General features: G+C 38.4%; 1 non-coding gene across 1 annotated transcript; it reads left to right on the top strand.

Annotated features, from left to right (window-relative positions):
• The first annotated feature begins 10,922 nt into the window (after positions 1–10,922).
• LOC124900904 (small nucleolar RNA U13) lies at positions 10,923–11,027 on the top strand. The gene has a single exon (XR_007058546.1). It is a non-coding gene; the product is annotated as a small nucleolar RNA U13 (small nucleolar RNA).
• The last annotated feature ends 3,467 nt before the right edge of the window (positions 11,028–14,494 follow it).

Genomic DNA, 14,494 nt, shown 5'->3' with positions numbered 1-14,494 from the left:
AGACATACCTGGGTTTGAATTCTTACCCTCAGTGAGGGTGATCAAGTCATTTAACTCCTGTTTTTCAGTTTCCACAGTGTAGAAGTAAAGCTATAGTAATACCCACTTCATTGGAATGGGCCATGGAATCTACATGTTTAGTGATCTCTCCTTGATGATTGTTACGCACACTGATGTTTCAAATCCTCTGCTTTAAAGCCATGCTTTTAAAAATAGCAATAGAACAGCAAATAAAATATTTCTAATACCCAAAGTAAGTGAGTTAATGTGACTTTGCTGAATTATTACCCTGGGTACACTTCGCAGATAGATTTTTCTTTAAATCACAAATAGATGTTGGCATATGCAGCATGTTTACATTGTGTGTGTGTGTGTGTGTGTGTGTGTGTGTGTGTGTCTTCAGCAAGACAAAAGAAAGAAATAAGGAGGAAAGAAAGAAAACACCCACATGATTCAAAGTGGATTTTTCCATTAAGTGTCTGTTGGCGGTAACTGCATGATAACACTTGTGAATATAACACTAACGATGCAGTTGCCTAATGGTCCCAACACAAATAATGCAGAAAATTACAAGTAATGCAGATGCAGACTCAATTACCACTGAATGCAGGCAAAAGGCAACCGGAGATATAACACGTGTCATTCTATGTTATCCCCATTCCTTCTACTCGGTTAAGACAGTCGCAGGGCTAGAGAAATTCCCTTTTTCAATTATTTTCCATGTCCTCTCAAAAGCATTTCCCTCCCCCAGGTTCTTTGGCTCATCCCAATATTGGGGCAATAGTTATTTGCATAATGTTCATATAGCCTAATCCCTATCATGAAACAGCAAAGATATGCATACTGGTTTTAGAGGAAGAAATTCATCTGTCTTGCATGCTTACTAGAAGTGAGACTCAGTGATTGATAGGTATTTGTATACATATTATTTAATTTTTTGATTGCCCTACAAAGTAAGTATTATTATGTCCATTTTAGGATAAGAAAATTAGATGCTCAAAAAGTTCAAGAAATTTAAGCAAGTCACTTGGGCTGGTAAATGACAGTGAGATTCCAACCAGGTTTGTCTGATTTTGAAAATTCATGCATTTTTTTACTACAAGGAATAAAGCCAGACGCATTGAAACAGCAAAGTTTCAGAGTTCCAAGCAACAAAATTCATACTTGGCAGGCATAAGCAGTAAAGGAATTTTACTGAAAGACTGTTAGAAAGTTCACAGAATCGTTGGGAGCACTGAAGAAACATGCTGGAGTTTCCCAGACAGGAGCAGTGCTTCATCATACCACAGAACTCATCTACTGGAAAAAATAGCCACCGGCAGAGCCGGCGTGGTCATGAAAGGCTGGGGCTGACATCACTGCTGGAATACCCTGGGAACTCAGGCTCACTGCTACCAAGATCACTTCCAAAGAGCACTCCCTACAATCTCTGCTTCTCTGCATGACTAAGCTCCCAGGTATTTAGTCCTTGCTTAACACTTTATCTCACTTAATGTATTTTGTAGGTATCCTCTCATTTATTCCTCACAAGGTCACTATGGAAGTGTACTCTGTTTATGCTCAATTTGCAGACAAGGAACCAAAGCTCAGACAAGTTAAGAGACTTACCCACGATCACAAAGCCAGTAGGTGATGGAGCTTCTTAACTCACATGTGTTAGTGACATGCTTTCGTGAAAGGGCCATCAGGGTTTTAGAACCACAAAAATCTGAGTTCAAATCCTCACTCTGAAGAAGAAGAAATAGTCTAGAACTATACATCTAATTGGTAAAGAGTAGTTCATGTGGTGATTCCCTACGTTTGAGGGAGGCTGAGAGCTAGTATCTGACATTTAACAGCATTTTTTAGTGAGAGACTGGCTCTGCCTCTCAACTACACTTATGAAAATCACAAAGCTTGTGTAACCTGGTTAACCTTCAGAATTTAGTCTCTGTCAGTGTTCATTAACAAAGCAAGATCTGTTTTTCAAAGAGAGAATAATTACTTAATGAAAAGAACATGGCTTTGCTCCAAAACCCTAGGTATTTCCACTCTGATTCTCCTATCTACCACAGGCTCCATTGAACATCTCAATTTGTTTCAGACACTTTGACCACTACTGGTTGCATTCACCACCTAGTAAGAGTGAAAGAATTACTTTTACAGCAGTTTAGACTTGTTGGGGTAGCTTCTTTTGCTCTAAACGCCACCAAAAAAAAAAAAAAAAAAAAAAACTGGTAGCTTTTGTTATCATGAGTCATATGTTGCATACATTGATTCCAAAATACAAAGAGCCCTTCAATCACTTCTTCCTTATCGATGGAGGGTAAAAAGCCTCACAATTTTTTTTTCCAATTTGAAGACATTTCCAGACAATTCTCAGACCACTAGAGCTTCAGAAATTTCACCAGAGTTACAGATTTCTACATGTTAAAAAAGTTATCTCCCATCCTCTAGCAATTAAGTATTCTCCAAAGCATCAAGGCATCTAGCCTATAGACCCTCAATATAGTACACAAACATGGTTTCCTGTGTGACGGTGAGACAATGAAAATCCCTGCAAACTAAATTGTGGCACAGAACTAGAGAACTGCCATAACTCTGAAGCAAAGGTGATAGGGACATCACTTCTCACCCTACCAGGTAAAAGCAAACCTCTTCAGGGTACTGACTTGTACCAAGATAGAGAAAACAGTCCAGTTAAAAAAGGAAAACTTGGCAGGGCACAGTGGCTTATGCCTGTAATCCCAGCACTTTGGCATGCCAAGATCAGTGAATCACCTGAGGTCAGGAGTTCGAAACAAGCCTGGCCAATGTGGTGAAACCCCATCTCTACTAAAAATACAAAAATTAGCCAGGTGTGGTGGCACGCACCTGTAGTCCCAGCTACCCGGAGGCTGAGGCAGAAGAACTCGAACCCAGGAGGTGGAGGTTGTAGTGGGCTGAGATCGCACCATTGCACTCCAGCCTGGGCAACAGAGAGAGGCTCCATCTAAAAAAAAAAAAAAAAAGCAGAACTCTCATCATCCGCTTATGTAGACCAGACACCTGACATAAGGCATCTGCAGCAGAGAAGGAAATGTTGTCTGCTCTTTCCCTTCTGTAACTCTAGCCTCTTAGAGGATGGATGGAAACATGACAACACCCAAAACTCCTCCTCCCTCTTCTGCTGGGTTTAACCTCTCACATGGCTAGGGGGCAGCGAGAAAGAATGAATCTTTCTGCAAATCTCCCTTTGCTTAATTCCCTGCAGTTTTAGTTATTTCCTTGGTGTCACTACTCTCTTGAGTCAAGACCTCCATGCGGTAGGCATCCACATGGTGGCTCACTCCTGGAACTCCTATGTACATTCTTCATTGCGTCATGCAGGGCTGACTCACTGCACAGCTCCCTAGTGTGGGAGGCAGGGGCCCAACTCGGCCTCTTCTACTCTACCTTAGCATCCTCTATGTGTGATACATTCCACCTTCACTTGCTGCTGAGCTTTTTTCCGTATGGCTCAAGTGGTTCGATCCCAGATATCTACCATGTTATTAACTTGATACATGAGGGTATCATTACACCACCAAATCTGGGGAATGCAGTCCTCCTCGAGGGGCCTATAAGAACTCTGCCAAGTCCCTTTACATAGGTATCCTCAAACTTCACAAGTGTTTACCTTGAAGGCTCCTCTCACTTGACTTTGGGTAGAGCTTAGCACCCCATCCTTCTCCCAAAGTACAAATACTGCTTTAAGGCTGACCCTGGAGGCTCTTTCCCCGCTCCCCAGTCTTTTTAAATGGGCTGAGAAAGGTGTGATTTGGTGGTGGCTAGTGGTACTTCTGTACCCCTTATTAAGCCTTGTAAACATAAGTCTGTCCCCAAATGTGAAAATTATTTTTTAATTAGGAAATTTTTTAATTAGGAAAATTATTTTTAAGTAGGAATGCTTAATACCTGTTATTTTCATCTATGGGCCCTAATGCAATTTCCTGGGCAACAGAAAATACCTTTCTACAGAGAAAGACAAAAAAAGAAAGAAACATAGAGGTTTTCTGTGCATGTTTGTTTGTTTTGTTTTATAGAAGAGTGAATAACTTCAATAAAATACCTACGAGGAATGTTAAGGGTCTAGTCGTGTGGGGGTTTTTTAATAATACTTTAACATTATTAATGATCAGCATTTAATTTCGCCCAGGCAATATGCTAAGCTCTTTAGATACGTCATTTCACTCCATCCAATTAAAAGTCCTTAATTTTACCACCTCCGTTTTACAGATGACGAAACTGAGACTTACAGAAATTAATTTGCCAAGGTCAGAAAATTCTTCCTAAGTTGACATTTAAATCATTCTGTCTTATCATCTTTCAATTGTCTCTTTTTCTAATATTTGTTTTACTTGATGTCTACTAACTTAGATATTTTTAACTCGAAAACACAACAGATGGACTGGGGGCAGGGCTCCCAGCAATGCTAAGGATTTTGCATATTACATTATACTATAGTTTGGATAATTTTTTCTTCACTATTCTCAAACAAAAAACACACGTTTCTACAGAATGTATGTAATAGGAAAGAATTACAACATTTTGATACACAGGCATATGATGAACTTTTTTTATTTTCATGCATTAATAAATCTCACCACATTGATTCAATTGCCCTTCTCTACTAAGTGGAAAGATGGGAGAGATGAGAAATGAAGAGCCTCTGTATCCAGAACTCCCATTGTCTCTTTAACCAATAGCCTGAGACTGAACGCTGAATAAACTTGACTTGATTTCCCTGGGGTCGGCATCTTCCTCCTCAGCCTTCCTGGGTGAGAGAAGATGGCAGCAGCAAGCTCAACAACATGACACTTGGCAAACATTCCGAGACTCTTTGATTGCCCAAGGGCATACAGCACGGCCTTGAATAAATGCAGATTGAACTAAGGACTGTACTTTCTTAGCTCCTTGCCAAAATGTGCTGTCTTTTAAGCAAGACTGGAAATGTGGGAACCTGAAGTCCTGATTACCATTAAATCTTCCACAAGAGCACCTTTAACTGGAAGGATTTTATTTCTTAATAGTCTGATAGCTAATTCTGAAGAACGGAAGAGGAAAAGCAGAATTGAGAACTGAAGAAAGGATTCTGATTTGGGAAAAGAAGGCGAAGAGGAGGAGAAACTTGCTGATAATGGCTTAATTAATACACTTCAGCCCTTGTTTTCTCCAGTGAAGATTCAATGTTCTTCATTGTTTATCTTTGGGCATAATTTTAATTAAATGGAGCGTAGTGTTTAACTATGGTTAAGGGTTGCAATGGGCATAATTCTGCCCCCAAAATTCACACAGTGCAAGCAGCTGGGTACTACTTTTATAGTCATCAAAAATATGGAGAATAAAATACTTAAAACCATCTATTTTGTTGATTCAAGCTTATTCAACTTTTTGCTGGTGGGAGATTTTACTGTACACTTAAGTTGCTCTCTTGATAGTATTTGCCTCCAGTGAAATCCTGTTTGGGAACTCATATTCTTTTTTATGCTGAAATCCAAACTGTTTTGAACAGGGCTGCCTTCATTAAAATGATTTCCTACTGTCACACAGTGACCTAAATGACAATTGACTTTTGCCTTCCATTAACAGAATGCATTCAGATTTCATTTTCACGTATGAATGCAGTTCATGCTTCACATCATGTTATTTTAAACAATACCACAATGTAGATTCATGAATAGTGCTTTAAAATCTGTTTCCAATGTTGCTATCTTTTAAAGAATAAACTGTAAGAAGTTCTATGCCCTTATACATTCTAATTCTCTGAAAATGCATTGCAAAATTTAAAGGTCATTAGCCTTATACACTCTTAGTGCACCATAAGCTTCTATTGGAATGTGTTATATAATCAGAAACAAAGGGTGTCTCCCTCTCTCCTGCTGCCAGGCATTATACAACACTGAAGCAAAAGAGTTTCACTCACATAAAAATGTCTTTCAACCCTGATTAAATAGCAGTAAATTCTTAAAATTATTTCCTATGGTTGTTATACATTTTGATTTATCCTCTCTCCTACAGTAATTAATAGCAACAAACCACTCATATTAGCCAGATGGATGACTCTAAGATTAGTCTGAAGTTTTACCTCAATTATGGAAAAAGAAGATGAATTTGAGAAATAAATAGGAAAAAAAATCCTTCTCTTAGGTTCTTGGGTTTTTCCCCCCCTTTTTTTTAGTTCAGATTTTATTCTTTTGCAGTTTTAGAACAGAATGTGTTACTGCTGCTCAACTCTTGATGAATACAAAAAGCCCACAATTGGCATTTATTTGATCTAACACATGATTAATGTGGTGAATTGCATGTAGTCCCAACTTTTTAAATCTCTGTGAAGAATTACATTTCTGTCCACAGGCATGTCACTGTTAAAAAATGAGCCACCTAATAGAAGAACACACGGTATATTAATATGTAATTTCTTTCCCAGTATGAATGCTAATTACTGACAGTGCAGACCTTATGCTTGGTCCTTGATATGGATAGACTTTCGAGCTATCTTTGTTGGTGTCATCAGTCTTACTACTCCATTCACCCACATTTTCATTTTAAAGACTCCTGAAGATAAGCAGGGGGACTATTTAGTGGTTTTCTAGATCTAATGTGATTTAGTTTAAAAACCTGTAAGGTGGGGAGGGGTAAGTATTTTCTAACTTATTTCCAGAAATTAATTTGGTTTGCATGAAAAGAAATGTCATTATGTTAAATAATTCCCCTCTTGAAAGTACTTTCTCTGTTGCTTTCTGGCAGTCTCATTAACCTGTAAAGATAATTCAGTTGCCTAACATTTTTTTTTCTTGTTAGCTTCCAATTGAGCATTAGTAAATGTGAGGTTTCTACAAAGTATAGTAGCTTCAAATATTCATTTCAATTGTTGCTTGTTGGTTTAGGCTTTTCATGTGATTTTTTTAATGCCAGGGTCTGGTAGGAGGGAATAATTATCACATACAGCCTTCATTGTGTGACCCAACCATATAGCTCTCTTTCTTCTTCAAGCCCTTATATTTACTCCACAATCAGTATCCCACAAATTATTATATCTCACTAGGAAGAGCTTTTAATACTGTATTACTTCTCAAAATCAAACTCTTGGCCACTTATTAGTCCTTCAAACTATTTGATATCAAAAATATATCTAAAGCTCTGTGAGGAGACTTACTTTTTAAAAAAATTGTGTTAAATTCATCTTTACTCCCTCAGTGCCTAGCATAGTGTCTGAGATTTATAGAAAGCTCTAGTTATTTTAGCCATTATCTTACCCAGCACTGAACTTTATTCAGAAATGCTTATGATCAAGTACATGACAATCAGTTTGATGACTGCTCAAATTAAACCAGTTGTCCATTGGAAGTGGCTTAAAAATCTAACTTTGTACTACTTTGATTAACATATGCCTCTGAGGGCAGGGAGTGCAGCTGACCTCATCTGTTTCTAAGATTGAGAAAAGTGACACCTTGTCTTTTAATAACTAAAATTTTAATTTAATGGGATCAGAGTTCAACAAATATTATCAGAAATTTTTTATGGGTCAGAAAAAGAAGAAAACCCATTACAAGGATGCCTACAATTTAAAGCAATACCATTGAAGAATAAAAAGACACAACATGATGCCTGGAAGCTGAAAAGCCATCTACCATGCCTGGTGTAAGGACATTCAATGACAATAGTTGATAAATGATAATACGCTGGGAGTGGAAGAAAAGCTAAGTCTGTAAACTAAGAAACCTGCCTGTGAGTAACTTCACCTTCGAAGTAGACAAGTAAAAAAATTAAGCCACTGAAAATTTCCATTGCAAGAGATATTAAAAGACATTTATTAGTTGAAGTTATTTTCTGTTTCTTTAGCTCCACTCAAAGTCCTCTCAGGTCCCCAGGCTGCCACCCCAGGATACAGGACAGCGTCGGACATACAATGGACATTCAGGTAAAGATTTGTTGTTGAACGAATGTACCTGTGCTTAGGCAACTACACTTGCACTTTTCATCTGTTAGCTTAGATGATGTACAAATTGCAGCCCTAAAAATATTCAAGGCTACTAGCCTTAGCTTGATTATAAACTGTGATAGGAAAGTACATAAATGTAAATATAACCTATCAGAAGTTGAGAGGCTCGTTTCAGGGCTGGCTATTTACGTGTTTCTGTTTTTGTTTTAATATTCTCAGGCAGTAGTTCAACTTCCAAGGGAACTCTTAGCCTCCAAGCTTTCCTGCTGTCGGTGTTCTTGCTTTTCCTGTGAGGCCTCATTGTGAGAATTTCTCTGGGCCCCTGCAAGCTCTTGGAACATGATTGAGATTCCTCCCAGATTTATTTCCACTGTATCCTATAACAACCCCTTCTCCCCTCCCATTCTTGGAAGTTGCCTGAGTGACTCTTTTCCTTGAAACCCAAAGTTTATCATCAACATACATAGAGAAGACTTTATGTTTTTAATTCAGATAGGCTAAAAAATAAGATAGTGGCTGAGGGCGGTGGCTCATGCCTGTAATCCTAGCACTTTGGGAGGCCCAGGCAGGCAGATTGCCTGAGCTCAGGAGGGCAGATTGCCTGAGCTCAGGAGTTCGAGACCAGCCTAAACCCCATCTCTACTAAAATACAAAAAATTAGCCAGGCATGGCGGCAGGCACCTGTAGTCCCAGCCACTTAGGAGGCTGAGGCAGGAGAAATTTGAACCCGGGAGGTGGAAGTTGCAGTGAGCAGAGATTGCACCATCGCACTCCAGCCTGGTGACAGGGCGAGACTCCTTCTGCAAAAAAAAAAAAAAAAAAAAAAAAATAGTGTTTGATATTAATCATTAGTGTTCTGCCTCCTTTTATACAATGTGAACATCTTTTGATAAACATTGCCAGCTGAAAATATTTGATTCTTAAACTTCAATAGTTTACCAAGTAACAAATAGCTACTGCTGATCCATCTTAGAATATTGTCACATGTACATAACATAATAAAATCCTCCCCAAAATTATCTGCTTGCTATAATGTCCCAGTAATTAATCTTGTAAACTTTCCCTATACAACATGCTTTAAAGAACCAAATCACCATGCACTATCCAACATCACCCTGGTTTAACCCCCAATTGGTCCAATCCCCTTATTTCTCTTGTTTTGTACTCACACAACAAAGGAATGTTTTATAAAGCAATATCTATTGATTTCTAACTCTGATGCATGAAATCAAGAGAAAATTGGGGAAAGGGGACAATTTTGGAAAGGAAATGGTGAGAAAAATGCATCTGAGCCAGAAATGGACATTTTGTAATGGCTGGTTCCATTTCATCATTTTGCCATTTTATCTCTTCTCTTCAATACCAGGCTTTACACATTTTCTTACAGTTTTTACAAAGCATGCATGGTTGCTTTCACATCCATAAAGAAAATATTCTACCTGTTAGGATGGCCAAATTGTCTCCAAAGACCCACACAGGCTTGTTTGTGTTTATTCTTTCAGCAGTAAAAAGAGATGATGTAAAACATCAGTGGTCCATTGGTCTTCTAATGCTTCTCTTATTTTTCTAAGTTTGTGCCTGAAACATTTGTCTTTACCATGGCTTGGGCATAGAGATGAAGTATGTGCCTTCTGTAATAGCTTTTTCATTTAATTATTTTATTTGCTGATTGACTGCTTCATGTCTAGTGGTTGTGGTCTAAAAGTGTTTCTAGTTTGTTTATTTATTTATTTATGTATTTATTTTTCCTCACTAAATCTAAATGTTTGTATAGCTTGGCCTGTTTTGAGGTGAAATTCTAGTAATTTTAAAAGATTACATATATTCCACATATATGAGTGTATATGTAGAATGGTATGTATATGCTATGGTTTGGCTCTGTCCACATTCAAAATCTCATCATGAATAATAATTCCCAAATCCCCACATGTCAAGGGAGAGACCAGGTGGAGGTAATTGAATCATGACAGCGGTTACCCCCATGCTGTTCTCATGATAGTGAGTGATTTCTCATGAGATCTGATGGTTTTATAAGGATTTGGTAGTTTCCTCTGCGTTCATTTTCTTTCCTGCCGCCCTGTGAAGAGGTGCCTTCCGCCATGATTGTTAGCTTCCTGAGGCCTCCCCAGCCATGCGGAACTGATTCAATCAAACCTCTTTTCTTTATAAATTACCCAGTCTTGGCAGTTCTTCACTGCAGTGTGAGAACAGACGAATACATTATATACATGCATGTATATATACACACATGCATATGGTTCTACCCATTTGACTTGTTGTCTTGTCTCTTGAACTCTGCCCATTTTATGGGTCATTCCTACTCACTTTATTTCAAACAATTAAAGTCCAAGTTTTTTTAAGGCCTTAGTACCTTCTAGTCTTTGCTATTTAGCAGTATGTTTAACTGATCTACTAAGTTGTGACGATGCTAAACATGGGAGAAGATCCAAACATTCAGCCAAAAGTTTCACATCAGAAAACACGGAAAGATCGCTGTATTCCTCCAACAAAGAAAATAAGTATGAATTGCCAAAGAGTGATAGACACTGGTAGTTCACTCAAATCCTGGGAGGTATTCCCAGTGACAGAATTACGCATTGTCCTTTATGGGCCAAATGCTGTAGACATGCCTGAACTCTTAAGTGCAGGAGGACCAATTATAGCAACAGTTATCAGCTAACCTCTTGTCCACAGACCATGGTCAACCACCTTGTAGTAAGCAGGTGCTGCTGGCTGCAGGTTCTGACTGGTGACTGAGTGGACACAGCACAACCAGTGGCAACTCTCTGGGGGTCATCTGAACGTCTTTTAGAGAGTGGAGGACATTCAGATTGCTAGATTCTCTTCGGCTCTCATGTGTTCTCTTTCAATGTTTTTCAATGACTCAGCTCAGCTTCTGAATCATCCTTATTCTCTAAAAATAAAAACATACTGACAGTATTTATGCCATCTAATCTTTCTTGAAAGTATTGGTGGGAACATTCTTTTGTAATGTATAAAATGTAATGATTGGGTTTTTATGCTCATGTGTGAGATGTGCCTCCCTCAAACCATGTTACAATATAAGCACATTACCCATCTGATATGAAAACATGTAAGTATTGATGGGAAGCTCTCCTTTCAGTGACGTTTATTTCACTGTCCAGAGCCCTAAGTAACCATCCAATTGATAACAATTTAACATTTCAAAGAAAGGGATAAATCTGGATTGATGTGTTTGTTGTTTGTTTGTTTTTTGTAGCACTACCTACTTTCTATATCAGTAGCACATTTTTTAACATAGAGCACCTATGAAATGAAACTTTTTGGAATAGGAAAAAATTATCTCAGATTTCAAAATGAGACAGAGTTTTTTGCTTCTTTTCAGCAATTGTTTTGTTTCCCTTACAGAGAATTGACAATAATATCAAGTTTATCTCTTTTATTTGGCTGCTAGAAAGCTCAGAGCCAAATTTGCAGCCTACCTCAAGTGAACAATTTATATTTCAGATCATTTATTATATATACTACCATTTTCTAGGGCTTTATTTTTCTACTTCCTTTTTCTCTTCATTCTGATTCCATTTTTTTCACTCTTTGTCTTATGATCCTATATACTCACACATTTTAAGGTTTTTGTTGTTGCTGTCAATGGGGTAATTATACACATAGAATCACAAGCGTATACACATGTGCATACACAATAAGAAAAGTTGCTCAGAGTATAATCAAACTCTTCTTTTAATGTCCCTGTATGATATGATAACACTTGAGTACAGAGTGACACACCAAGGCAAGAATGTGTGCTCACATCTGCTGGTAGGGTCATGTGAAAGAATATCAGAGGATATAACAAACCTTTCGACAGCACCCAGATCTCACCTGCAGGGATATAAATCACTGCCTGCTTTTGGCATATCTCTGTTCAACTGGTCACCACAATCCTGAGTGATTTCGGATGTCCCCAAACAATCAGTAGTCCTAATAAAAAGAAAGATTGAAAGAGAGAAATGAGGAGAGGGCAATAACAAACACAAGGAGAAGACTAACAAATACAAGGAGAAGACTAACAAACACAAACACTAATGGTGCAAGAATTGACTTCCTATTGACAAACATCATGATGAGTGAATTATTCACTTCTCTGATATTTTTGTGTTAGGGTTCCCTGAGGTGTATGTTTGTCATGCTTTCTCTTTTAAAAGGGCTAAAAGAGTATCTTGTTTTTCTGGCATTCAGTCTTTCTTTCCCCCCTGCTGGCATTATATGGTGATGCTTTTGAATACACTTTCTTCTTCTTCCTTCAAGTGACAGTGATTAATTCATCTTGCCCTGAAACCATTATTACAACAAATCACCCAGCATCACCAATTCAGGAAGCATATTCCAGTCATCTTCCTAGGGGTTTAATGAAGCTGGAAACAGGTCCACTAAATTGAGGCGGCTGTCCCTGGAAAACAGGGAAGGACTGAACAGACTCACCGCCATTAGTATCACTTCTCTGACAGTGGTAATTTTTACTTTGATTCTTCATGTCAGCTAGTGTGCCCAGCAACCACATGACAATGAAATAATGAGACAGCAACTTCTCCTCTGCCCAACCCGTGGCCCAAGCCCTGTCTCTGGGAATCCTGCCAGGTACTTTTACTTGGCAGCCTCCTGCTTCATGCCAAGGAAGAGCGAGAAGTATTTGTCTTTTCACTACAAGATGCATTGCTTTCTCTTTGTTGCACAAGTTGGGAAGATTCTACTAGGAATGATGCAATATGCCATAGGGTGAAACTTAGATGAGGGGGCTGAATAAATGTTTTCAAGAGTTTATACCCTAAGGTTTTGGATATGCATTCTGCAGGAGGGAGGAGAAACGATCGGGAGTTGTGTTGATAAGTTAATAACTTAAGGCAGTTTACAGACAGACAAAAATTCTCCGAAATCTAAACTGACTCCAACATTGTGACACCAAAACTTTAAATACTGAAAGCAACATTTCCTTTTTTCTACTAAAAACTGCATCCCATATATTCTTTGTTAAAGTGTGTTTAGAATCACATTGCAGCTTCCTGAAGAAAGTAATCTTTCAAGAACTTCAGCCGTCCTTCTGAGAAAGAAACAGAGGATCAGTGTACACTCTTCCTAAGAGGCAAGTAGGAATTAGGGAAAAGTCAGACTGGCCCTGAACTACTCAGAAGAACAATTCCTGACTTTGAATGCAAGATAATGTTAATCTATCCTGAGCATTATAATTCCTTGGTCATGTGGCAACCTTATTGCTTGACTCACTTGGTACATTTTTCCCTTGGCTTCCCTTCATTGGATGCCTGTAAAAGCCAAATACTCATGTCTTCAGCCTCACTTGCAGATAGGAGAGATCATTTTATACAATTCTGGCCAACAAAACCTAAGCAAAACAACCAAAAACCTTGAGAGAAAAGTGGCTGAGAGCAAGGGCGGGGACAATTTGGGGTGGGGTGAGGTGGGATAAATTTTTTTTTTCCTGATAAAAAACCTGGCCTGGCTCATTTTTCCCACTTTCCCTTCTTTCTGCATCAAATGAAATCTCCATATATGATGCCGTCACAGCCATCTTGCAATCATGAAGCAATGAGCATGGGAAGTAAAGCCACCACATTAAGCATGTTAGAGTGGAAAAAGAAGGGAAAAAAAAAAAACCTAAGTTTCTTGTGACACCACTAAGGAGCCAAAAAATGCCAGAACTGTACAATCCTAAACTTTTTGTTATGTACAAAAATAAATTCTTATTTGCTTAAGACACCTTTAGTTGGATAAGCTGTTAGCTGCAGCCAAAAACATTCCTAATGAGTCCCATAAGCACGGCCAAAGGTTTACACATTTGCAAAACCCAGTCTCGCTGTGGATGAAGTAGTTTGTCAATGCTTATGAAATTCCAGAAAGCTAGAACTTCAGGAGTAAATAAGTCCTGCTATGCCAAATTCTCATCAGATCAAAGACCTTGAATTAGTAGGGAAAAAGCAGGATGTGAACAGCTGGCTCCTTCCAACATTCACCTCTTTCCCTCAGATGAAGCCTCACTGGTTCTGGAGAACTGGAGTAGAAAGGCAAAAATTCTTAAAGAATAGCCCACTTAGACACATAAGTTCTCTGTATCCAGATATCTATGAGGCCACACTGTCTTTCTTGAACTTGAGATTCCAATAAAGACACACTTAAAGTTCTACCTAAAATACCTAGTACTTACCCATTCTTGTAGAGACTGTGCATTGTCAGCTATCATGTTATACCATTAGAAATAAGCTCTTGGCTGGAGCTATGTAAAACACTAAAACTTTGTATTTGGTCATAGGGAAATGGTGCATATGAGAAAGAAAATCTGGCACTTAGCAAAAAGATTCATTTCTGACATTTTCATTTGGTTGTTATGGTGAGAAAATTCACAGCCAGTGGCTGTCAAATCCCAACATACATGAGTTAACATGCTCCAGTAGTTGACAGATGCACTCATTTTTACCTTCATAAAAGAGAACAAAACAGGGTAGGGGGAGCGTGTAGCAATGACCAAATCTAATTCTTCTTGACACTCATGGTTATAAAGTT

This window comes from Homo sapiens, chromosome 4, assembly GCF_000001405.40.
Source record: "Homo sapiens chromosome 4, GRCh38.p14 Primary Assembly".
NCBI classification, from domain to species: domain Eukaryota; kingdom Metazoa; phylum Chordata; class Mammalia; order Primates; family Hominidae; genus Homo; species Homo sapiens.
The sequence above is the reverse complement of the archived record's forward strand: the minus strand, read 5'-3'. Positions and strand labels throughout refer to the sequence as shown.